Below are 26,591 nucleotides of genomic sequence, written 5' to 3'. Positions count from 1 at the left end.
CAGGGAAGGCCGGTGGGACCCAGTGGTGGCTGGCCCAGCTTGAGGCATGAGTTATCTCATGCTGGGCTGCCCTGCCATGCTGCTGCGCTGCAATGCCAGGCTGATATTTACTGTATATTGGTTTTTAAATTACAGTACAACATTGATTCGCTGCTCTTTCAGTTCAGCCCTCACTCTCTGTCCCTGTTCTGCTCGGCCTTTCTCTGCCTCTCTGTCTCTCTCTCCATCTGTCTTGTCTCTCTCCAATTCAGTTTTTAATGCAGAGTATTATCTTACATTGTATCATGTTACCCTATGGAATTAGGCTTATGCTGCTTTGTATTTATTGGAGGATGCATTATATTAATCCCTTCCATGCATACAGCACTTTATACATTTTAAAGCTCTACCTGCAGCCATACCTGTCTTCTTTGGACCCCATGACAGTGAGGAAGTAGGGCAAGCAGACTTGTCTCCATTTAAACGCGAGGAAACTGTAGCTCAGGAAGGCTAATGGAATGACCAGGTCATGCTTGCATTATATTATATTATAACATAATAATAATGGCCACTGGGTATTGAATGCTTGCTGTGAGCCCTGTGCTATTCTAAAATAAGCTTTATGTACTTATTTTATGCCCACATTCATTCTGTGCAGTAGGTATTATTACTTCATTTTACAGGTGAAGGAATGAAGATTCAGAGTGGGTTAGTAGCTTGCCCAAAGTCACACAGCTATTACAGTAAAATTCAACTTTGGATTAGCTGGATTCAAACCCCAGCAGCCAGCTCCTGAGCCCCCTCTCTCAACCAGGATGCATGCTGTCACGTGCTGTGATCCCTGAGTTGGATTGGGGGTGGGAGAGTGGGGATGGGGTGGGATGGCTTCATGGTACTACAAGAGGCATTCTTGTCCTCACATGACTTCTGTTTCTTTATGTTTTCACTGCACCCAGGGGAAAGGCCTGGGGACCTTGCAACAGCAGGAAATGTCCCCAGGGCAAGGGGCCAAGTTCCTTTACCCCAATATCCACAGATGGTTAGGGCCCCAATATCCACCATTTTGGCCCCCAAGCAAGGGCAGAAGGGCAGGCGCAGAGTAAGGCTGGTGGGAGCCCTGGCTGGGTGGTGTGGTTGCCATCTGCCCTCCTTCTTTCCTGTGTCCATGGAAGGAGGGTGACATCCTGACCTCCATGGGGTCTCTCTCAGGACTGCCTTTGTGTGTTCCCTTGCCCTTTGTTTAAGAGGCAAAGCTGCTTGCAGCCCAGGAGCACCTCGGAGCTGGGCTTAGCTCCCAGGAGCACAGTGAGCCAGTGGGCAGCAGGGGAAGAGCTGGGGGTTCTGCGCACTCTGCCAGTTCCAGCCCGCCCTCACTAGTGCACAGCAGTGAGGAGGCCCTGCTGCGTGCTGCCCACTGCGGTCTGAGATGCCTGGTTCCTGAGCAGGAGTTGGGAGGGGTGACTGGGTCTTGTGTAGACCATCCTGAGGAGTCCTTCCTCTCCAGATCCTCACATCCTCACTTCCTCCATCATCCTAAGGACCCATTGCCATGGCTGGAGTCAGGCCACAATATGCTACTTGCCATGGCCCAGACACTTATCTCCCTGTCTCCCAGGTCACACTCATGGCGAAGTGTGTTTTGGGAGAAGCAGGGATCCCCTGTGCTGTCTGCATGCCCCTTATTGGGGTAGGTGGGGGAAAAGGGTCCTGAGCCTGAGGATGTTGTGAGTCCCATGACTCCAAGGAGCCATCCTTGGCAGAGTGCAGCCCTGCACATCTTCACTTCCGTGGCCCTGCTGTGAAGTGAAGCTTGCTCTCTGCCCACTTCTCACTCTGTCCTTGCTAATGGGGCCCTGCTCTCTCTCCGGAGCTGCCTGGATTTTATTCTGGAGCCGCAGGTACCTGCAGTGCCTCCCAATTATGCACCAAATTTACATAGCCTGAGATTTATGGAACAGGCCACACATTTATGGAAAGTGTGAAGTATAAAGGTAAAGTGAAGCTTATACTTTTTCCTGTGGGCTCAGAATCATCCAGCACTCCCCGCCACCCCCCACCCCGTGATGGACACAAACTGGGAGCATAACTCCGAGGCTGATGTTTCTGTTGCTTTTCTTATTAACAGCTGCTACTTGATGAGCAGTTGATATGTGAGAGGAATTCTAGCACAGTGAGTCAGGCCTGGGAGTCAGACAGCTGGGTTCAAATCTCAGCAGTTCCACTTAGGAGCTGTGTACCCTCATGCAAGTCACTTAGCTCTTTGAGCCTCACTTTCCCCTTCTGTAAAATGGAGCTAGCACCAATACTTAATCCCTAGGGTTGTCATGAGTATAAAATGGTAAATAGCTACAAAATGCTACAGCACCTGGCACATGGCATATGTTATTAAAGTGTTTGTCTATACCATATTTATATGCATTCTCTCATTTTGTCTCCCAACTACTTTTGCAAAGTAGGTATTACCTCCCTGCACATGTGAAAACTGAAGCTCAAAATATCAATGAGATTTGCTCCAAGTCTAGGGTGACCACCTGTCCGAATTCGCCTGAGACTAAGGGGATTCCTGGGATGCAGTACTTTCAGTTGTGGTTTGTTTGTTTGTTTGTTTTGTTTTTGACACAAGTTTCGTTCTTGTTGCCCAGGCTGCAGTGCAATGGCGTGATTTCAGCTCACTGCAACCTCTGCCTCCCAGGTTCAAGTGATTCTCCTCCTTTAGCTCCCCGAGTAGCATCACCATGCCTGGCTAATTTTTGTATTTTTAGTAGAGATGGGGTTTCACCATGTTGGCCAGGCTGGTCTCGAACTCATGACCTCGGGTGATTCACCTGCCTCGGCCTCCCAAAGTGCTGGGATTACAGGCGTGAGCCACTGTGCCCAGCCAGGACTTTCAGTTTTGAAGTTAGGAAAGTCCCAGGCCAACTAGGATGAGTTGGGCACCCTACCCAGGTCACAGAGCAAATGCATGGATGAGCCAGGATTTGAATCCAGTTGTTTCTGATATCCACTGCCATGCCCTAAGCCATTCTAGACACTCTTGGGGATGGAGCCTCTCTTAGCTGCCCACATTTATGGAGCTCCGGCAGGCTCAGAGATGCTGTCCCATTTCATTCTCACAAAACGCTGTCACTTAGGCAAATTACAGCAAAGAGGGAACTGAAACACAGAGGTCGAGTAATGCACCCTGGGTCACCTAGCTAAGAAGTGGCCGGGTTGCGACTGGCACCCAGGCCATCTGGCCCCAGTGCCCCACACTCCTGACCACTCTGCTGCAGCTTGCCTCCTATCCTTTCCAAATTCCCCCCAACTGTACCTGGTCTCATTTTTCATCCCAATGGCCTCTGGAATAGTCAGGGCAGGTACTTTTAAACCTGTTCTATAGGACAGAAAACTGAGGCTCAGAGAGGCCAAATTCCTAAGCTAAGGTCACACAGCTTGTAAGTGATGAAGGCAGGATTAGATTTCATCAGGAGTTCTCAGCTGATGCTTCTCACTCTTGTTTTCGTGTTTGATAAATGGGCAGGATGCCTCCAGTCCTTTTCAGTTCTGTTCAAATTCATATGAAGTTTATGAGGTCTCAGTCATCACTGGGGCGGCTATGCAGGCAGCAGGTTTGGCAGGACATGGGCTCGTGCAGTCCTTTGGCTCCAATATTCTATTTGATGTAGTTGTCATTATCCGATCCTTCCCCCAGCAGGTAGAGGAGGCACCTTGTTGCAGAATGAACATGCCCACCTGCTAACAGCCCATCTGCTGACTATAGGAGCCCACCAGCAGCCCCAGGGTTCTCTGTGGACTTCCAGCTCTCACTCCTTCCACTAGCTGGGGATTAAACATAGAAAAGGCTGCATTCTCCTGCTTGGGCAGCAAAGATGCTATTAATGCCAGGCTGGCTTCTAAGGCAACTAAATAAACAGAAAGGACAGGGACAAGAGTCTATAAATTCTAAATGATGTTCAGGAAAGTGGCCTGGGCCCCAAGCCCCATAAAACCCAGGCAGCCTGCTGGGCTGGTGGTGCTTTATTGGCCCCTTCCTCTGCTGCGGGGTCATATGCCCATCAAGCCTCCCACTTGTAAGGTACTTTTTCTCTTTAACTTCCAAACACTTCCCATAGTAATTAGCATTTCATGGTTGTCTTTAAGCCACTCATATGGCTACATCACTCCCCCATTTAACAGATAGGAAAACTGAGGCACACAGGGGGCTAATGAACTGGATAATGGCCCGGGTCCCTTGATGCTGATCTAGAAAGTTCTCTCTGATGTTCATACTAAGTAAGCACTTACTACATGCTGGGCACTGTTTTAAGCCCTTTGTACTTATTATCTAATTTATTGCCCATGACAACCTAAGGCACAGGTACTGTTATTTTAACTATCATCTCTACGTCCTAGTGAGGAAACTGTGATATAGAGGGTTTAAGTAACTTGCTCAGGCCCACACATGTGATAAGTGGCATGCAGGGATTTGGCCCTACACCCTCAACCATCACGCTGTTAGCAAAGCGTGGGAGCAGAACGGGAGGAGGGGTAGCTGCTGTCCTGAAGGGCCTGGTTCTTTGCTTCTTCCCAGGAAACCTGTTTCGGAGCCCCCCCTGTTTTGGAGACCCTGTGCTCTGGGCAGCTTCAGAACCTCCAGAGAGACATAACTCAAGGAGCAGTGAGGGCAGGCGAGGGGCTGGGCAGGTCGATTGAGAAGTGCCATGGAGACAGCACCAGGCTGGGAGTCTGGACACTTGCATGGCCACACCAGCTCCGCCACCAACTTGTTGTGGGGCCCTCAAAGGCTCTTCCCCCTTTCCTGTCTCTGATTTGGATGGAGGTGGGGCATCACATGATTTGGGGATCCACCTGCTGGTGGTGACGGCAGCAGAAAGGAGGGCCACAGAGGCTCCAACATCGGACCTGGCCCTGCCCTCACTGTCAGAAGTGCAGACCCACATTGGGTGCCCAAATTGCCTGCTAAAACCTGGGCTATTTAAAACACCCAGCGCCACCTGGAATCTCGAGGTTCCGCTACTTTGGGAGGACTCTGGGTTTCAGCTCCCTCCCTCCCCATTGCCCTGCCTTATGGGGTTTGCTGGGGGTTAGGGAAATGATGGACCTTGGCTGCTGCAAGTTGTCTGCAGTCCAACACTGCTTTCCCATGGTGGGTGTCAGAGGAGGGGCTCTACTGAGGGCTGGAGTGGTGCAGCATCCTCTTATTCTGGCCAAGGTCTGTGAAGTCCCCAGATCAATGAAGGAGAAAGAAGAAATTCTTCAATGTGTTGCCAACCTAACCAGCCTTGCATGATTCCATTCAACTCACTTGCAGTTAACAGATGTTTACTGAGCACCTAGTATTGGTCAGCTGCTAGGTGACAGAGGCTAGCTAATTAGACTTAGTTTCTGCCTTCAAGGGTCTCCCAGTCTGGTGGGGAGGCAGAGAGGTAAACAAACAATTATAATGCACCATGATGGTCCTGTGACTGGAGGCAGGAGCCTGCAGTGCTTCCAGCAAGAGGTGATTCCTCTCCAGCTCTGCTTCCGGGGCCTCTTGCTAAATGGCTGCAGCACCCTCTTGAATGGCCCCATTAAGTTCCTCTAGGCCATTCTCCCATAGACAATGCGCACACCTTGCTGAAGATGTTTCAGTGCATTTAGAGTAAAATCCTAACCCTTTAGCTGGCCTGCCAGGCACTGGCCCTGTCCATTTCTTTACCTCCTTTGTGCCTTCTCCCCATGTCTAGCACCCTGAGGGAACCATGAACATTTACTAGAAAAGATCATGTTCTTTTCCACCTCTGGGCCTTTGCATTCTGCCTAGAACACCATTTCTCTACAGTCTGCATGGCTGGACACTACTCGTCCTTCAGATGTCAGCTTAAATATTGCTTTTAGGGATGGCCTGACCACTCCCACTCTAAAGTTTGGCCCCTTGCTGCTCTCACTAAGAGCAGCTTCCCCCGGCCCCATGTGTTCCTTTCCACACTCTGTATCTGCTTGTTGGTTTATTGCTTCTCTCTTGCAGCCTGTGAACAATGTGGGGCAGGAATGGGGAAGGGACAGGGCGGCCCAGGGTTAAAAGTGCAGACTGGTGCTTAGACTGCCTGTGCAGAAATCTGGCTGCACAACTCAGTGCTGTGTGACTCTGGGGAAGTTGCTTTATCTCTCTGTGTCCCAGTTTCTTCATGTGTAAAATGGAAGAAATAATAATACCTGCCCCCACAGAGGTGTGGTTTGGGCTAAATGAGTTAATATATGTAAAGCACTTAGAACAGTGTCTGGCACATGGCAAGTGCTCAATAAATATTAGCTATCATTATTATTTTTATATCCACTGCTTAGAATAGTGCCCAGCTCAATAAATATTTGATGATTGGCTGAGACACCTGGGCTGAATCTTCAAGGAAGTAGTTGAGGGTTGGTTAGAGAGAGAATGGTGACTCTTAGCCCTGGTTGCATGTTGGAATCACCTGGGGGGCTATAACAAACACTGATGCCTGAGCCCTACCCACAAGACAGTTGCCAGGCCATTGATGTTTTAAAGCTTCCCTAGGATTCTGATTCTAGGGTTGAGAACCACAGAGATGGGGAAGGGAGACATTCACAGCCCAAGAACATGGTGCAGCTGGCAGTGCCATGCTGGAGGGAACGCAGAGGGTGAGGCAGGGGCAAGGGAGTTGAATGGCAGCACAGGAAGTCAGGGCCGGACCTGAGACGGCCCTGCATGCTATGCAGAGGAGCTTAGTCTTGGTGGGGAAGTTGATAGAGGCCCTGGAAAGCTTTTAAGCTGAGAATGACATGGTCCAATTTGCCTTTAAGGAACTTGGCCTAGGTAGCTGTGTGGAGGATGGATTACTGCGAGTGAAATTGAAGGCATGGAGATCAGAATGCAGAAAATCTTCTGCCACAGTGAGAGCAGTGCGGAGCCAGGCTTGAACCAGGCAGATGACTTGCTGGTCCCCAGTTTAATTACTTAATCCTCCTTGGCATGTCTGAACAGTGAAATCTGGGCAGTGCGGCATTACACCTGGCCGCTCCTGCCCCCAACCACTATGCCAAACGGGTGTCACTCTGGGCTGATATAAACCCCATATGGTCCTGACCATGGAAAGGCTTTTCCTTCTGGTTTCTAAGCCAGACTTCTGAGTCTCAGTGAAGATTCTCTAGTCCACACCCTGTTGGCCTCTGGGGTTCTTGTTTCAACCTGGAAATCCCTCCCAGGCCCACTTCCTCATTTATGATCCCTGCCCTACCCCCTGAAAGCCCTGAGGTCTAAATGCCTCGAATGTACCAACTCTCCCTTGGTTCCAGGCCAGTCCTCCCTTGAAACAATAGGCTCCCATCCTCCAGGGCTTCTCCCCCAGTGGAGGCTTAAATATAGTCTCAATCTTCTGTTGCCTGGATTATAGGTGGGGACTCATGCTTCCTGCCTCCCAGCTCCCTGGCTACCAAGCTATCTCTCCCTAATTGTTCAATTTTCTTCCCACATGAAGCTGTGGGTCCCAGAGCTGCCTTTGGAAGGCAGGGCTCTTGACAGAGTGACCCATGTCCTTCCCATTGTACCACACCATTTATCCTCGCTTGGAGGCAGTGTAAGTGGGTGCTCCCGTCTGGTTCTGTGTGGTCTTGGGCAAGTCATCTGATCTCTGCGTGTCTTAGTTTCTTTATCCGTTAGAATAGAGGTGAAAATGGGGGAGATACAAAATTAGCCGGGCATGGTGGCACATGCCTGTAATCCCAGCTACTCGGGAGGCTGAGGTAGGAGAATCACTTGAACCCAGGAGGCGGAGGTTACAGTGAGCCGAGATCGCACCATTGCACTCCAGCCTAGGCAACAAGAGCGAAACTCCGTCTCAAAAAAGGAAGGAAGGAAGGAAGGAAGGAAGGAAGGAAGGAAGGAAGGAAGGAAATGGGGGAGACGTTTAGTAACCCAGTGACACTGGGAATAATCACAGGTTTGAATTGGCCATCTGACTCAGAGGATACAGTAGGCTTTAATTTAGCACTGTGTTTCTTAGCATTAGCGAGGCATTTGGAACAGGACAGGAAACAGAGCACACGTAGGATCTTTATCTTCGTCTTGTGGGGATGCCTGTAAGCCACCCACATACATAACTTTTTTTTGCCCCTCACCCATGTGGGCCATTTTGGCTGCTGTTGATAAAACCTGAGAACCGTCTAAGAGTCTCCTTGATGCAGAGAAGCTGCTGTCTCAATTTCCAATATACCATCTTAGACACATAGATCCCAGGCCTGCATGCCAACTCACAGTTCCCCAGGCCCACAGATCAGGGGTTTCACACGACACAGGGCAGACACCACAGTCCACATGTATCTTAACTGCATTGTGGGAGGGCAGGCCTGGGGTTATTTTCCCAGAGAGGCCTAGGCCAGCCCAGGCTGCTGTCAAACCTTGACTGAGGCTTAGTTATCTGTACATATTTCTCTTAGGAGGAAGACAGTCAGTAGATTGCTGTCAATTCACACAGGTAAAACCCAGTTTATAAGAGAGAGAGAGAGAGAAGAGAAGGAAGGGGGAAACTGTAGACCGTCTGGGAAGAGTGAATTTTGTTTGTACGTTTTGGGGGTAAATTGATCATCTGGCAGCTGGTAGAGCTATTAGTTTGGGCATTCCAGTTCTTGAGCAGGCTGTTTAGGGGCATTGAAGAATGTGATGGCAGTTGTGGGTTTTCCAGCAGAGCCTTAGGAGTTCATCTGTGGGGTATAGTCTCTGTAAGATGCCTGCTGGTGCCGCCTCACCAGCACCTCCGCTTTAGCCAGGCCAGGTCTGCCCCTTGACCCTGTCAGAACTCCTCAAGGTAGGCTGCTGTGGAATTCAATGGGTAACGGAGTGCCTAGTCCTCTAAAACAGTGAAGATCAACAGCAAAGTGCTTGTATACAAACATGTCCATAGTCAATGCTCAATGTAAGTTCTAATTGCTATTCTTTCCCTCTCATGGGTTCCACCTCTGTTGGCTTCTCTGGCTCTGTTGCCTGGTGTCCCATATCTTCTCTGGAGCTGAGATTCAGAAGTGGAGAGGAGGAAGATGGGGACACAGAGAGGAAGTCAAGGATCAAGACAGCTTTGTAATCACGTGTTTTAAGGAATGAAGTGGACAGGTTGCTTCCCTTATGCTCTTTAGGGACTGGGGTTGAGGGAGATTTATTTTTGCTCTTTCTTTTAGCCAAGGCAGCATCAGTCAGAAGGGCCTCCCACCTCATAATTTTGTCCTATTGGCTGGAAGCAGGCTGTGTCCGCCATTTTGATTTTTCTCCCAGCTTTGGAGGAAAACTAGAAACCCAGAGAAAAAGTGCCTTTTTCTTTCCTCATTGGAATCCAGGGAAGAGGACCTTGGTAGCAGGAGACTGTTCCTTTCCTGAGTGGTTCCAACCCTTTTCTCCAGGAAGCTAGGTAGGCTAAGTAAGGGAGGGAGTCTCAGGCTGACCTTGGATCCTGTCAATCCCAGGGACTTGCAGTATGACCTTGATCAAGTGTCTTCTCCTCTCTTTAAAACTGTTTCCTCATCTTTAAAATTGGGGGATGTAGGGGCTACAGACATAATATTGTAAAGACTCTAAGGAAATGGGCCTTCCCCTTCCTACTGTCAACATACTTTAAGTGGTTCTCTTTAAGCTTGCTCTTGAAGATCATCATACCAAGTTTTGGCTTGAATATAAATGTTAGGGATTTCTTTTATTATTATTATTATTATACTTTAAGTTTTAGGGTACATGTGCACAATGTGCAGGTTTGTTACATATGTATACATGTGCCATGTTGGTATGCTGCACCCATTAACTCGTCATTTAGCATTAGGTATATCTCCTAATGCTATTCCTCCCCTCTCCCCCCACCCCACAACAGTCCCCAGTGTGTGATGTTCCCCTTCCTGTGTCCATGTGTTCTCATTGTTCAATTCCCACCTATGAGTGAGAACATGCGGTGTTTGGTTTTTTGTCCATGTGATAGTTTGCTGAGAATGATGGTTTCCAGCTTCATCCATGTCCCTACAAAGGACATGAACTCATCATTTTTTATGGCTGCATAGTATTCCATGGTGTATATGTGCCACATTTTCTTAATCCAGTCTATCATTGTTGGACATTTGGGTTGGTTCCAAGTCTTTGCTATTGTGAATAGCGCGGCAATAAACATACGTGTGCATGTGTCTTTAAAGCAGCATGATTTATAATCCTTTGGGTATATACCCAGTAATGGGATGGCTGGGTCTAATGGTATTTCTAGTTCCAGATCCCTGAGGAATCGCCACACGGACTTCCACAATGGTTGAGCTAGTTTACAGTCCCACCAACAGTGTAAAACTGTTCCTATTTCTTCACATCCTCTCCAGCAACTTTGTTTCCTGACTTTTTAATGGTCGCCATTCTAACTGGTGTGAGATGGTATCTCGTTGTGGTTTTGATTTGCATTTCTCTGATGGCCAGTGATGATGAGCATTTTTTCATGTGTTTTTTGGCTGCATAAATGTCTTCTTTTGAGAAGTGTCTGTTCATATCCTTCATCCACTTTTTGATGGGGCTGTTTGTTTTTTTCTTGTAAATTTTTTGAGTTCATTGTAGATTCTGGATATTAGCCCTTTGTCAGATAAGTAGGTTGCAAAAATTTTCTCCCATTCTGTAGGTTGCCTGTTCACTCTGATGGTGGTTTCTTTTGCTGTGCAGAAGCTCTTTAGTTTAATTAGATCCCATTTGTCAATTTTGTCTTTTGTTGCCATTGCTTTTGGTGTTTTAGACATGAAGTCCTTGCCCATGCCTATGTCCTGAATGGTATTGCCTAGGTTTTCTTCTAGGGTTTTTATGGTTTTAGGTCTAACATGTAAGTCTTTAATCCATGTTGAATTAATTTTTGTATAAGGTGTAAGGAAGGGATCCAGTTTCAGCTTTCTACATATGGCTAGCCAGTTTTCCCAGCACCATTTATTAAATAGGGAATCCTTTCCCCATTTCTTGTTTTTGTCAGGTTTGTCAAAGATCAGATGGTTGTAGATAGGTGGCAATATTTCTGAGGGCTCTGCTCTGTTCCATTGGTCTATATCTCTGTTTTGGTACCAATACCATGCTGTTTTGGTTACTGTAGCCTTGTAGTATAGTTTGAAGTCAGGTAGTGTGATGCCTCCAGCTTTGTTCTTTTGGCTTAGGATTGACTTGGCAATGCAGGCTCTTTTTTGGTTCCATATGAACTTTAAAGTAGTTTTTTCCAATTCGGTGAAGAAAGTCATTGGTAGCTTGATGGGGATGGCATTGAATCTATAAATTACCTTGGGCAGTATGGCCATTTTCACGATATTGATTCTTCCTACCCATGAGCATGGAATGTTCTTCCATTTGTTTGTATCCTCTTTTATTTCATTGAGCAGTGGTTTGTAGTTCTCCTTGAAGAGGTCCTTCACATCCCTTGTAAGTTGGATTAATGTTAGCGATTTCTATAATGATTTGGGATCTACGTCCTCTGCTAGATGGTCCTGGCTCTTATACATCCTGCCCTCCAATTTTTCTTAGAGTTTGGGAAAGTCTAGAAACTCCAGATCAGTCTTGTTGAGGCTTTCAGTTGAACTGACAGGCGTCCTGATGGTGTGTTTCTGAGTCTTTGTCTCAAATGGTCAGAGCTTTGGTACAGAGCAGTCTGACTCCATTACACAGGTGGAGGGGCTGCTTTATGCAGACTCCTGTGATGGTGGTGGAGGAGGCTGGGGGGATTTTGGGGTTGGAGGATATGATCACACTGATGGTGGAGATGGGTATTGTGGTCATGGTGTGGGCAATGCTGGGGAGGTAGGTAGGGCATCATGGGCTGTTAAGAAGCATTTTTACTATGAGCAATGGAGAGGCACTGAAGGATTATAATTTAAGGGAAAGGAACCCAGATTTACATTTTGAAAAGATCACTCTAATTACATTGTGGAAAACTGATTGGAGGATGGTGAGAGTGGGTGTATTAAGAGAGCAGTGGAGTAGTTCAGGAGAGAGATCATGGTAATTTAGATTATAGTGGTGGGGATGGATAGAAGTGTGCAGGTGCTGGACCTTCTTAGGTGGTAAAATCAACAGGACTTGGTGATTAGATGACACCTTGATCCCACTGGGGGAGCTGTGAATGTGAAGGAGATCTCAAAGATGAACTTTGGGTGTCTGCCTTGGGCAGCTGGGTAGATGGTTCGATTGTAAACTCTATGACAGCAGGAACTTAATTTTGTCTATATGTATCGCCAGGTGCTGAAGCAGAAAAGCAGCACCTAGCACATGCTAGGTCCTCAATCAGTGTTGGTTGGATGACTGTTACTGTTAACTCTTGGTCATGAACATGACAAAAGGTATATATTGTAAGCTGTGGTCCCCATGTTTGTGTCCACCACTGGACATGAAACACTCTTGGAGTTGGCTCACAGATGGCTAATATAGGGGCCAGACCTAAGACTCAGCTGAACCCACATTGGAACCCTAGGTTCTTCCTTTACTGATTGTATGACTTGGGGAAAATTAGGTAACATTCCTGAGCCTCAACATATTCAACTCTAAAATGGAGATAAAAAGAATGCTGACCTTACAGGGTTATTATTAAATGAGATAATGTTAGAAAGCACTTAGCCCAGTGCCTGGACCACGGTTGGTAAGTGCAGTGGTGATCATTTAAGAAAATAAATTACTTGTACTCTGAATCCAGCACCTTGTGGGCACACAAGGTCTGTCTGTGGAGTAATCAGGTGGTGAAATGAGAGAAGGGGTGGTATCCATGGTAATCGTAGTGCTAACAAGGACAGGGAAGTTATTGAAGACCTTGATGACAGGGCTGGAAATTGTGGGGAGGCTGAAGCTACTTCCACATCTGTCTTATCATCTTATTGTTTCTACCTTGATTTCTATTCTTGTTTCTTGGCAGCCCAGGAAATGAGGCTGTTTGTGACATAGCCCCCAGGACTCATGGCAGGCCCTCAGTGTTGAGGGGGAAGGCAGAATGTCTGGGGACTCAGCTGCTTCCATATCTACCTTCGCCTCAGCTGAATCCCAGCTTAGTCACTAAAAACAGTGTTTTAAAAATAGCAACAGGTGATGTTCATCCAGATGGAACCCCCTAAAAACAACTGCTCCCTAATGGTCTTTGCACTGTGATAAATGACTGTGGATTGACAGGGAGCCCCTGGCAGCTGCTGCTCCCTGTGCCTTTCCTCCCTTTGATGAGAAAGTGAATATTCAGCAAGCCTCAGGACCCTGGAGGGCCCCCCAGAGGAGGAGGCAGAAGGAGCTCATTGGCCCGGCAGCTGTCCCTGCTGCTGTGCTTGTGAGTCTAGGCAGGAGAGAGAGAATTATAAGTCACAGACACGGAGCAACTGAGCGGATGCAGAGAGGCAGATATTTCCAGAGCAGAGCGGAGAGAGGAGCCCATTTGCACCTGGGTTATCTGTGGGTATCATGTGTGTGCACGGAGGGGTCTCTACACATGCAGTCCCTCAAGCCACCTGTCAGCTTCAAGTCAACTCTCAGGAAGACATGGGTAAGGCTGAAAACCAGCTAATGGGCAGTCAGCACTTAAGGAAATCTTGAACATAGCTCTCAGGGAGACATGCTTATAACACTCCCATGCACAGACACACACAAACTGACCCCCACACCGCCATGGCCAGCCCCTACCTCAGATTCACCTGCAGCCTCTTGAGAGCCACAGCTACAGGCAAGTCCCAAATCTGGCCCCTTGGGGATAATAGAGTGTGTGTGTGTGTGTGTGTGTGTGTGTGTGTGTGAGTGAGTGCACGCACATAAGCACGCTCACATGTGCCTTTGCATGTACCATGGAGGCTTAGGAGTCAATTTCTAGGAATGTCTTCATCTCCATGCACAGACAGAAATAGGCTAGGTTTCTTTTTAGAGCTTTCTCTAGCTGATTAATATGTGTGTGTGTTGGCAGGACAGGGAGGCCCCATCCCTGCTGCTTCTCTGGCGGCTAAGGGTCCTTTAAGTTTTCAGAGCAGCAGAGGGAAACTCCCATGAGCTCTTGCTTCTGGATGGAACTGCAGGATCCTGGCAAAATGGCCCAGTTTTTGGGTGGACCCCATTTTCTCTTGGGGATGTGAAATTGGAAACGTCATCTCTTCTCTCTCCCTTCTCTCCCCCTCCCTTTGCTCTTCACTGCCCTGCCCTCCCCCTGTACCGTACTTGTTCACCTGACCAGTTTCTATATTCCTACTCATCCAACCCCAGGAAGCCTTCTAGGGCCCTTAGGTCTGCATTAGACAGGTGCCCCTCCTCTGTGGTCCTTAGGCAGCGTGTACTTCCCCAAGCCCAGTAGTTCATTGCGTAGTCATGGTTCCTCCTTCCGTCTGCCCAATCTCTACCTGACCCTAACCACCATCCACAGGAAGCCTTCTGTGATTGCTATAGCTCAGCCTTGCCCACAACTCCATCTCATTCATGATCTGTACCCCTCATCTGCCTCTTATCATGTGTTGATTTTTAAATGATCCTTCTCTATCACTTTCCATACGCCCAAGTTGGACTGTCATTTTCCAGAGAACAGATTCTATGCTCTCTAATCTCAACTCCATTCATTCAGTCATTCATTCGGCACATACTTCTAGAATACCTGCTATGAGCCAGACACTGGGGCCGTGGGGCTGAATAAGACTGATGGTTTTCTGCTTAGGGACTCCTTGACTCCTGGTCATCATGGTGGAGGGGGAGATGCCTAGGGTTCCCTGAGGCCTGAGCAAGGAAGCCTGAGCCTGGGGTGGGCCTCCCAGGCCTGCTGTATTCTACCCGCCTCTCCAGCCCTCTGGAGCTTGTTGTCATGAGAATTCTCCCTTCCTTCCTGACTCTCCCACCAGGGATAGGTGTGGATTAAGCGGGGCTCCTGTTTTTCTAGTATCTAAAAAGGCTGTGCCTCCCTTGCTTTTATGTCAGCTTTTCCATGCTGAGTAAGTTTCTATCAAACTCTAGAGCTCAGGCACCTTCTGTGGAAGCCCAAGAAGAGAGTAACCAGTGAATCTCTTTGCTCCCTAGTACCCCATGTACTGACAAGATCCACAGCAGCCAGCCCCTGTGGAGGGAAGGGCACTGTGTCAGTGTGGCCTGCTTGTTTGCCCAGTAGGCCAGCCCCTCTGGCAGGTCCCGGCAGCCATAGAAACAGTGCTCATGGGGAAGTTCTAGGAGACATGGATTCTATTCCCAGATCAGTCCCCAACCGGCCATTGCCTTTCTCTGTGGAGACTTCAGTTTCTCCATCTACTAAATAAGGGTCACTGCAAAAGGTCCTTGGGGTCTCTTTTAGCCCTGACCTTCCATGTGAGGGCCTGGGCCCAGGCCAGCTCTCCTGCACCCCACACAGCTCTGTCTTTTCTTTTCTGTTCCCCTGAAGGTAGGGGACCAGTCCCTGAGGATTACACAGAACATCGAGAATCTTGGGGCTCCTCTCTCAGTTGCCCTTTCCCTTGGGCCTGAGTTCCTAGTGCCACCTCATGGCCCTAGAAACTGCAATGTCTCTGAGGTCCCATTGAAGGTACCTCTCTTCTGAACACACCCTGCTTATAATACTAGGTGAAGGATACTTCTGCACTGAGTCAACAAACTTCTCAGAACATCTCTTAGCACAGATGGACACTCCACATATTTGCTGAATCAAATTACAGACAGGGAAGACAGAGGCCCAAAGCAATTAGAGTGTGGTAGGTTTGGAGATGATCTAGATAATCTGTTAGGACTTTCAATCTCTTTTGGCTTAAACCCACTGTAAGACATATATTTTACATGACAACTTACTAAATACATTTGAAACATACAAATAACCAACACTTGTATAATGGAAACAGATATACTATGACATGATGTCCTTACCAAGCACAGTGCCCTGTTATCTATTCTATTCTGCTCTGTCCTATTCTATCCTGCTCTACTGAGCATGCTGGTCATGACTACAGCATTGATTCCATGACCAACCGATGGATCATGAACTGCGGTTTGATAAACACCAATCTGAGTGATTGGCAGATCTGATTTGATGTGAGTTAGTAAGAGAAGCTTTGCCTCCTGGAGTATCTTCTGTCTGGCTGATCCAGACAGCATTTCAAACAGCAGCAGGCCAGCAACTACTACAGAGCCTCCTGAATGGAGGAGTCAGGCACACCCTTGCCTGCCACCTCTGCCCCATGATGGTGCGGTCCATCATTTCTGAATATGTTGGGTCTTTGGCCTCAACTGGGCTTCCCCAGTCAGGCATGGTGTCTCACACATGATGGCATCCTGGTGCCTGGTCATGGGAAGAGCCTATAGACCTTGAACACATGATCCCTGAAAAGGTGGGTGGTATGGTGGCCGGTGCTGCTGGTTAGAGCGCTGTCCCTGATGGGTGCAGGCGTTGGTGGCTTGTGGGCTCAGTCAGAGCGCCTCCTGGACTAGATTCCCTTCAGTTCACAAACACTTATTTAGCACCTTCTGTGTTTTCCACATTGTGTGAGACATTAAGGCCATAGAAATGAATAGTTCTCAAAACAAATGTTTACTGAGCTTCCTCAAAGTGCTCCACCCAGGGCTAACCGAGACAATGCAGAGAGGAAGGAGATGCAGTTTCCAGGAGCTGGAGGCCTGGGGGTGAGGCAGGTGTGGGCAGATGGTTAGAACTCGCCTTGGCATGGGGAGGGCCAAGTCAGGACTGTGCCTGGGAACGGAAGAGGGAGAGAGGCCAGCCCTATTTACCAGCTGCTCCCACATGAGTGGGACTTGGAAGAACGGCAGAGAAGGAGAAATGAAGATTTGTGAATAAGACTGGGGAGCCCGTCCAGGATGGGGAGTCAGAGGGGGCGGATGAAATGCCCTTCAGTTTTGGGAGGGTGCTTGGGCAGGGGTGGAGTAGGCAGCTAGGGTAGGACATGCCCAGGGAAGGGGCAGGCTTGAATTACATCCTGTCCTAGCCCCTTTAGGGACTCTGGTCCTAGCCAGTCTCAGAGGCTGGACAATTTCTCAGTGTCAAAAGGCCTGATATTAGCAAGGTATTAGCTAGAAGGGCCAGGTAGCCCCCTCGGTCCCTCTTCCCTCCCTCCGCTGCCCCTACCCCCATAGTGGGCCCCAGGCCAGGCTCCCATAGACTCTCCTGGCCAGCTTAGCCTCTCCACACTCAGGCCTGGGACCACCCCAGCTGAACTGGGGATTCCCAGGGTGTGGGGGTGACCCATCCACCTCCTTAGATCCACTCTAGGCAGAATTTATAGCAGCAGGAGTCATAAACTAAATTCAAAGTAATGTCTCAAACAGTGGCATCCGGCAATAGACTGAGTATCTCAGTGTGGTAATGGCTTTACTTAGGGGCCCTGATTTACAGCGTCATCAGGAAGGCTCACTGCCGGGCTCTTCCCAGGAGGAGCATTTATAGGCTGACCCCTCCCCATCAGGCCCACTGTCTCCCTCTCTGCACTTGACACAGAGTAGCCTCTCTCACCCCCACCCAGCGGCCATCCATCCTCCCCCCAATATCATCAGAGGCTTCATCTCTTACCATCCTGACACCCCAACATATGCTCTTCCCCATGCCCCCTCCGTTTGATCCATGGCCCTTATTGTCTTTACAAATCACTTCTTTGGGACACCTGGGGTTGCCTTCCCAGCTAGCCTTCCTCTGTCCTTCAGCTTAGTGCTCACACATCCGTGAGTGTGCGTGCTACTCTCAAGCATGCATCCTCTGCACAGTGTCACGGGCAAGCCCGGCTTTGGATTGAGATGCCTCTGATTGTTGTGTGATCTTGGGTAGGTTACATAACCTCTTTGTGCCTCAGTTAACTTATTTGCAGAATGGAGGCACTAATAACGTTAACCTCACAGAGGTTTTGTGGGATTAAATGACAATGTCAGTAAAGTGCTTGCAAAAGCAGAGTAGGAGCTTAGTAGTATTAGGAACAGGTGCTAACAATAATGATAAAGACAGTAATTTCATGTTTCTAACGTCAGTCTAGCCCTCGCCTTCCCCCACTGGGCCCCAAACTCCACAAGGTCAGGAACTCTCTTCTCCACCTAACTGAGGACATCTCCTCCAGCCTTCTCTCTGCTCTTCTTTACCTTCCTGGGATCCATGTACCTTTCACCCTCAGCTCACTGACTGTTTGAATCCCAGAGCAAGGTGGCCAAACCCTCAAATGCCTCAGCCAGAGGCAGATCCATCTTTCTAACGCTGGGGACTCAAAATGGAGGGACAGGTTCTTAACAGAGTGCAGTGGCCTAGACCTTCCACAATGCGGGGAAGGAAGTGCTGGCTGTTCCTTCACTGGGCACAAAGCTGCAGGCAGGAAAAGAGTCCATGCAATGTCTCCTCAGGAGCCAGGGGACACAGGCTGCTGGCTGCTCCTGCCTAGATCCACAGGGAGAGGAGGTGTTAATCAGTCGAACAAGTAGGCTTGTGCTGGAGGATCTCTCTGGGGAATCAGAACAGCTTCCTTGGGGGCCTCAGCTTACTCATTCCCAGAAGAGCCAGACTCCACCCATCAGTCAGAAGGCTCCTCCTCTTCTCCACTCCTTCACGTGCGTGGAGTCAGGAGGCCCACAGAGCACCACATCAGGGACCCCCACTGCTGGAATATATTTCTTCTTTCAGGCAAGTGGACAAGCGAATCCTTGCCCAAAACTTAGAAACCAGGTAACAGCAAAACCATTGGGGATTTTGTTATAAAAGCCTTCCGTGCAATGAAATAACATCATCATTATCAACAATAAAAATAATCACTCCCATAGAAGTTGCTGTGTGACAAACATTGTTCTATATACTTTATAAATATTAACCCACTTAAACTTTGCAAGGATCTTATGACATAGGTGCTGTTATCATCCCCATTTAACAGAGGAGACACAGAAAGGCTAAGTCACATGGAAGAGTGAGGTCCCATAGCAGGGCCAGGATCTGCACACTTAATCATTTGTGTAGGACCATCTCTGAGCTTTTGGATGCAATGGTTTGGGTCCTGGCTGTGGTATCTCTGCAGCTATAGTTTCTCTCCCTGGGCACACCCCACTCTCATCTTTATTTGTAGGTATCCTACTGGCCTTCAGGGTCAAGGCCTGTCTCTGACCCCAGGGCCTCCACAGAGTCTCCCTGACCCAAACCCAATGGAACATTCAATCCTCAGACCCCTGACCACTGTGCCTGTAGGTCTTATCTTCCTGTGACTCTCTAGGATAAAGGCCAGCAGTGGTAGCCTTGACCCCGCCACCATTACCACCATGGTTGCCCCATCTCTGAACCCCCATAGCTCTGTTTCCTTGACTAGTAATATTTTTCTGACCTTTATGCTTTATCTCTGAGAGAGGACATCATTTCTGCTGGTCAGATGTCGGTGCCTTGGGGCCAGGCTGGTTTGTATCTTCTGCTTCCTTGGAATCCGCAAAAGGTGGGCCATGTGCTGGACTCATGGAGACCTCGCCTCGGGTGAGTGAGGAGGCACTGTCTCTACAGTGAGCTTCCAGCTGCCCCATCCCAAAGGCTTAGAGGCCTGCACAAAACGAAGTCTTTGCATTGTGGCAGAGAGGCTGTAAGGCACACAGATGGGGATGGGGGAGCCAGACTTGGGGAAAGGGAGACCCGAGGAGGCATCTGGCCTCGAGTGTTGATTATGATCCTGGTTATTATTATGTCTCTAATTCTTAAGGAGCTCACTGTCTGAAGTGATGTGGATTAGACAAAATCAAAGGATGCCTTGAGCTGGATTTGTGTCTTGGTAGATGAAAGCATTGGTGGCCATGGCCTCAGGAATTCTGTGAGTGGGTCAAACTTGGGGTCACTCAGACAGGGGAACAGGAGTTCAAGAAATCAGCCATCCAGAAGGTGGCCAAGAGCATCAGTAGGAGTGTGTGCGTGTGTGTGTGTGTGTGTGTGTGTGTGTGTGTGTGTCTATGTAGGTAAGAGAGAGAGAAACAAAGAGAGAGAGAGAGAGAGAGAGAGAGAGAGACCTGGTTCTAATTCACTCTCCACACTGACTAGCCATATGCCCTTGTGGCCATTTACCTTACCTCCCCTCTAATAACTTTCCATCCTCAGGACAAGCAGTGTAGCATCCCCAGAATGACTAATGGCAAAGTCTTCTGCAGAATCAGGGTGCAGGTGAGCTCCTTCTGTGAGTGACTGCACTGGGGCTCTCTCCCCTTCCCTTTCCTCTGTCCTTTCAGAAGTGCAGGTGGGGCTTCATGCCCCTTATCCTCACTGCTCTGTGCCCTCAGCACAGCCTCACATCACATTATCCTTCTGAGCAGAAGGGCCCCTGCTGTAGGGCAAGAGGGGCCTGTCAGGGTGTCAGAGCCCCAGAAAAGGGCCTGTGTTCAGTCGGGGCTGGGTCCCTGCTGCTAGACAGGAAAGCTGGCTACCCAGTCTGGGCCAAGGTGTAGGAGGGGCTGTGGGAGGGCCTCTGATTTCCATGGCTCCTCCCAGCTCTCCCAGACCCCAGTTTAGAACCATAAGGCCAATTCTACACCTGCCAGACTGCAGCATGGTGCGGGGGCTTTCCAGGTGGCTCAGGTGGACTGGGTGGGTGGCATTTGAGGAGAGCAGGTGGGCTGACAGTGACGGTCGGCGTGTGCCTGGAACAGAGTGCATTCTCCCTGTATCATTATTGTTGAGATTATTCTGATCTTCATTACGCCTCTTGTTCTTCAGGAGTTCTGAGTAGATTTAGATGTCAGCAAAGAAGGAAGATTTAGTACAGTAAAACAGTCACTGCCAGATAAGAAATTATATGGACATTGTGCATGTCAGAGAGCGGTGTGGGGAGGGATGGGTGGCCATTGGTGGGGATTTCGAGGCAAGGTAGAGAGGGCTGGAGCAGACTCAGACTCCCCACTGAATCTCATCTACTCAGTGTGGCAAGGCTTCCTGCCATGGGGGTGGGGGCAGGGCTGGGGAACAGGTTTCTGGAGACTTTGGGAGGACAGGAGAGAAGCAGGTTGGGGAGCAAAGCTAGGTCAAAGAAAGTTGGTGAATGCAAGCAAGGATGTGGGGCTGAGAATGAAAGAATTATCTCACAATTCCAGGAGGCACAGACTCCTCCTCCTGCACCCTGGAGCAGTGGCATGTGAGGAGGGGGATCTGCGTGGCAACACTGTCTCTGGCTGTTACCTCCCGGATGGGGCTCAGACAGCCCATCCGTAGCTGCCACTTGTTCGTCTGTGATCAATACTTCTGAGAAAGGTTTACTGCATCCTGCTGGCGTAGTCTCACTTGTGGAGGGGAGAGGAGGAGGAGGGTCTCCTCACCTCCTTACTGTGGGTGAGCTCATCTCCGGCCCAGCCTCCCCACCGCAACCCTCAGCTGGTGCCTATCCCCCTAGGGCCCAGCCTTCACCTCTCACCAGGGATGACCTCACTGGCATGGCTTCTTCCCGGAGGGGCAGTGGGCAGGAGCCAAGGTTCCTCCCCATCTCCTCACAGCTTGCCCTTGCGGGGTGCTGAGCAGGAGCAGGAGAGGGGCCCCCAGCAGAGCGCTTTTAATTCTACTGGCCTTTCTAAAGCTGGCAAAAAGAACATCTTACCCAGGGAAAAGAGGTCAGACTCAGGGGAAATTATTTAACCAATTGTAAAGAGGACAGAGTTATGTTAGAGGTCAGGAGGAACTTTCCACCAGCATGCATGGAAAAGGTCTTTTCTTAAATAATTATAACTAATTATACATTATTAAAAATGGCTTTGTTAGAAACAGAATGTTGCCCTTACCTCCTGCATTTGCTGTGGAAAGAACTGTGCCGGTAGGCTGATTTACTGAGAGGTGACTTTTAACCAAGAAACTGTCTGAGTGCAGAGATAAAAGGTAGACTGAGGATAGGTAGTTGAAAGTCAGGACAAGAGCGATTTTTCAGAGGGGGAGTCAAGTAGGAAGGGGGTGATCAAAAAACAGTGTTTGAGACTTTGGGCCTCCTTGGGTCTCAGTTCACCCATCTGTACAAGGGACCTCATTTCAGCTCAGCTGCCTAGTGGTTCTATGTGGCGAGAATATGAAGGGGTGGCCTGGAGAGGTGAGCAGTTGTGAGGTCCACTTTACATTGCATTCGTGATTGCTCTTGGGAAGCGAGCAAAAGAATACCAATTCCCATGGCACCTTTCTGTTCCCTGTCAATTTGTCTTCCAAGCTGTTTCTGTCATTTTGTCTCTCTGCCCATCTACCTCTCCCTCCCATTCACCCCTACACCCATCATCCATCCACCCATCCACCCTTCCCTCCATCCATCTTGCATTCTAGCTCTCTCCTGAGTGGAACCAAGGCAGGGAGACAGCCGTTTAGGAGGCCCAACGAGAGAAGCCCCTAAGGAGGGCATGAGGTTAGTCCACTATATAAAGGCCTCCAAAACTGAGGTGGTCTCATAAATGAAACCCTGGGTCCATTTGACATCCATCCTGACTTCCAGGTAGCCTGTTCTTGACCAGCACCTTCCTTGTGCTTTAGTATATCTCATGGAACATTCCTCTCCCACTTCGGGGGGACAGGAGTAAGGGCAGGAGCTTGTCTCAGCAAAGAAGCCCTGGTTCCCAGGTGGTGGCAATGGAGGGTCGTAGGTAGATGGGTGGGGGAAGAAGGGGGTTGACAGTGATTCCTTCTCTGAAATCCTTGAAGGTCCCATGAGAGAGAGAGGCACCTGAAACCACAGGAGAGACAGCGGCCTCTCTGGGTCCTTGAGTAACAGTATTCATGGCTGGAAGGACATCAGTTATCCAAAGTGTGATCTGCAGAGAAGACCCCAGAGGTGAGAAGCACAAGGCTGGAACCTCAGCCTGCCTCTGCCACCAGCTTCCTATAAGTAAGGCATCACCTCAGTTTTCCCACCTATGGAGTTCAAATAAAGCCTATATTATCCACCTGTAAGACTACTTACGGAGATAATGGATAAGTGTATTTCATCTTTATAATGTAATTAAATCTGAGGCGAATTCATTAAGAACTGTGGTTCCCTATTGACCAATTTCATTTGTTACTTATTTATTCAATTCCCTGAGCATTTGCTATGTGCTGGCTCTGATCTCAGAACATGATGCAGAATGGCCTTGCCCTCCTAGACCTTCCCCACCAGAACACAGTGGGGAAAGACCTCCCCTATTTACAAATGGAGTGTCCAGAAGTGCCATCCTTCACTTGTCACCTGAACTTGGTGTTTGCTCAGCTCCCCAAGATGTCCAATGTGTGAAATGCTTCCTTCACTTAGAGAGTATCCAGCTTTCCTTTGACGTGACTCAGTTTCCCTTGTGGCTTTAAGCCCTTACACGCCAGTTATATTTGTTTTTCCTCTGCTGGGTAGGTTTTGTTGACTATTTAAAAAATTGATTGTGTTGAACTCATTATTGCTTTGTTTAATAAGTCGATCTGCATTGGCTGATATTTACCATAGCCAAGTTTCCTTAAAGAGTCAGGTGGTAAAGGCAGGCTAAGCCACCTAGAGGCTTCTTTCTCCCAGGGATGTGGGTTAATTAGAAACTAGAAGTGGCTGAGAAAAGCAACATGCCCTCCTCCACCTGGCAGGCAGAGCGGAGCGAACAAGAAGGGAGATGCATGACTGTTGGAGAAAGAGACAGAGCTGAGGGGCACACACCTGCTCGGAGAACCAGGAAAGCATCAGCTAGTGCAAATTTCAGAAAGTGTAGCTCTTACTAACTTGTTGAATAGCTGAGTATATTAATGAAATGATTAGGTATGGGATTTTTACTGATTAAGATAAATGAGAATAGGATAAGAACACTCCAACACAGAATTATTCTAGTCAAGAAAATTCCATAGTACATGATGGGAACTGATTTTTTTAAAGGATGCTTATGGACAAAGATTGGCAGGAATATGCAAATATGAAAAAAATAGTTGCTGGGGTAGGGTAATTAGAGTATGAGTGTTTTTCTTCCTTTCCTTTTCTAAAAATCTTTTAATGATAATTGGTTTTATAATGAATTTTTTCAAGCAAGAAAGGAAAGAAAAATGGCTTTTGAGACTTTAGTGACTGATGTTTTATATTTGAGTTATTTAATGCTTTTAGCTGTAGATATGATTTGGTATATATCTATCTCCTTTGGCAAGGTGTAGTACTTCTCAGGGATTTTACTTTTTCAGGTCCCACATAACTGTGTCTGCTCAGCTACATGTGTAAGAAATTCCAGTTTCCACAGGTGACAGGGAACAGATGTAAAACAATATTTTAACATAGAGAGCTTTGCTATTCAAAGGGTGGTTCACGGGGCAGAAGCACTGGCATCACTGGGAACTAGTTAGAAATGCAAATTCTTGGGCCCTGCCCTAGACCTACTAAATTTGAATTGGCATTTTAACAAGATCCCAGGTGATTTGTATGCACATTAAGATTTGAGAACCACTGTTCTAGAACAGTGGTTTTCAAGCTTGGGAATGCATCAGAATCACCTGGAGGACTTAGTAAAACAAGGATTCCTGGGCTCACTTCAGAGTTTCTAATTCAGCAGGTTTTGGAGTGGGACCTGCGAATTTGCAGAATGGAGCTGCAGATTGAAGACCACACTTTGAGAACCACGGTGTTAGAGAATGAAACAAAAAGACATAGCCCCTGGTGTGGGAATAAGTGTGCCTCTCACCTTGTATAACTTGTATAACACACGAGGATTTTGTATAAATGGATTTTTGTATCTGTGTGACTTGGGTAGGTCTTTTTTTTTCTTTGGGCTTCAGTTTCCTCAACAGTGAAATGGGTGAATTGGACTTGATAGGCTTGAATCTTCCTTCCTTCTACCGCTGATCTTTCTTAACATTTGATTCTATCATGTTGGTATGTCAGAGCAGATCAGAGTAATTATATTTATAAAAATTTCTGCTGTTCTTATTAAGAATGTTCAGTGAATTCTTCAATCACTGTGCGTTGCTAGGTTCACTGCTAGTGTATGATCTTAGCATCATGTCCTGTGTAGTTCTATCCCGGAATCAATCCTCAACAGCCACTTTCTACTCAGATGCTTGATGGTGTTCACCTTTGTGTATTCATTTGACACATAGTTATCAATCACTATCTACTCCCTGCCATCAGGTTAGCTGCTATGATTAAATCCAAATGAATTAATTAAACTCAAGAGATAAATGTTACAACAGATAATAGAAAAACCAACTCAACTAGTTGAAACGATCAAGGGTATTTATTTGGTTCATGTATTTGAAAAGTCCAGTGGTGATGTGGGCTTCAGGAGAAGCTTGAGCAGGCCTTGGGCTCCATTTCTCATTGGCTCTATATTCTGTCTTCTGTGTACTGGCTTTGTCCTCCTCGAGCTGACGTCCTCCCTGGCCTCATGTCTATATACCCTGCTTTCTTGAAGAATGTGAGTTCCTGAAGGACAGAGACCCTACCTCAGTTGCTCATTGAAGTATCTGCCATTGCCCAGAATAGTGCCCGGAATGCAGTGGACCTTCTGTAAATCCCTGCCCCTAAGCGCTTTGTCCCTAAGAGTCACCCCCAGTGGACTGACTTGGATCACATGTTCCTCTGGACTAGTCTCTGTGGCCAGGGTCATGGACTGTCACTGATTAGCCTAGTGTCATGAACCTCATCCATCCTTGCGTTGGTTTACCCAGACTCACAGGAGGCCCTACACCGACATCTGGAGATTTTATGACGCATCTCTTGAAGGCAACGACTCCCATCCACTGCAGTCCACCTCTTTGGCTGCCAACACATACTCTTGTACTACATATGCACATTTAAAAATACTCCATCTACATATGATATACTCACCCCATGCCCGCGGGGAGACGCTGTGGAGTTTTACTTAGTTTCTGCCTACAACTCCCTGTCCAGCATCTCTCAACACTGTGAGTCCTCTTCATCCTCTCCAGATAGAACTCTTTATGGCCTAGGCACTGACTTGTTAAATGGTAAGCTGTTTACACCTCAACACACCCAATATACACCAGTGGAGAAAGAATATGAAAATTGCAAAAAAAAGCAAACAAAACTATACCACTCCCATTTGGAAAATAGTAAAATTGGAAAGCCACATTGTGGCCACTGGTCTGTGGTCCCCGGTACCTTCTTCTGGCAGTGCATGCTTTCTTTGGTTAGCTAGTCTGGGGTGGAAAGTTCTTTCTTGTCCATTGTCTTCTCTGGACTCCTCTGAGATGAATATTAGAGAAGGCCTCTCTTCTGTGCTACTTTGACGGATGCCCCCTACTGGATGAGGATGGGAACTTGAAGTATGTCTTAAGGTTTGAGCAATCAAAGGCCATTGCCAGCCAGGCTTGACAATGTGACTCTCTCTAAAGACGTTAGATTACCAGTCCGTACACTTCCCAGTCAATATCATGTGCCAATAACTGCAGCAAGAGATACTGCTGAGTCAGTCTTAAGTCTGAGCATTGTCTCCTAGCAACAGAGCTGCTTGCTCTGCTCATACCCTAGCCCTTCATTTCATAGCTTCGGCCTCCATATTGGGCTGTACCTCCTAGGGGGTCCTCTTTGCCTTAGGATAGGGCATTACCACTGCCGTTTGCTTACTGGCTGTGCCGCAGCTGCACCCTCACAACAGAAGTAATTGTCCTCACTGCCAGAAAGAGAGTAAGAGAGTTTATTTATTTTTATTTTTATTTTTTATTTTGAGACGGAGTCTTTCTCTCTTGCCCAGGCTGGAGTGCAATGGCACAATCTCAGCTCACTGCAACCTCCGC

General features: G+C 48.1%; 1 protein-coding gene across 1 annotated transcript in view, besides 1 other annotated feature; it reads left to right on the top strand.

Annotated features, from left to right (window-relative positions):
- LRFN2 (leucine rich repeat and fibronectin type III domain containing 2) overlaps positions 1–26,591 on the top strand; it is a 195,774-nt gene that overhangs the window by 10,810 nt on the left and 158,373 nt on the right. The gene's annotated exons all lie outside the window — the stretch shown is intronic.
- Positions 13,071–13,365: a silencer, noted in NCBI's record as "tiled region #9042; K562 Repressive non-DNase unmatched - State 22:ReprW". NCBI's record gives its function as "represses a minimal TATA promoter and a strong SV40 promoter by Sharpr-MPRA in K562 cells {active_cell/tissue: K562}" and the evidence as "EXISTENCE:reporter gene assay evidence [ECO:0000049][PMID:27701403]".

Source organism: Homo sapiens, chromosome 6, assembly GCF_000001405.40.
Source record: "Homo sapiens chromosome 6, GRCh38.p14 Primary Assembly".
Taxonomy (NCBI): domain Eukaryota; kingdom Metazoa; phylum Chordata; class Mammalia; order Primates; family Hominidae; genus Homo; species Homo sapiens.
This window is presented reverse-complemented; position numbering and strand designations above follow the sequence as displayed.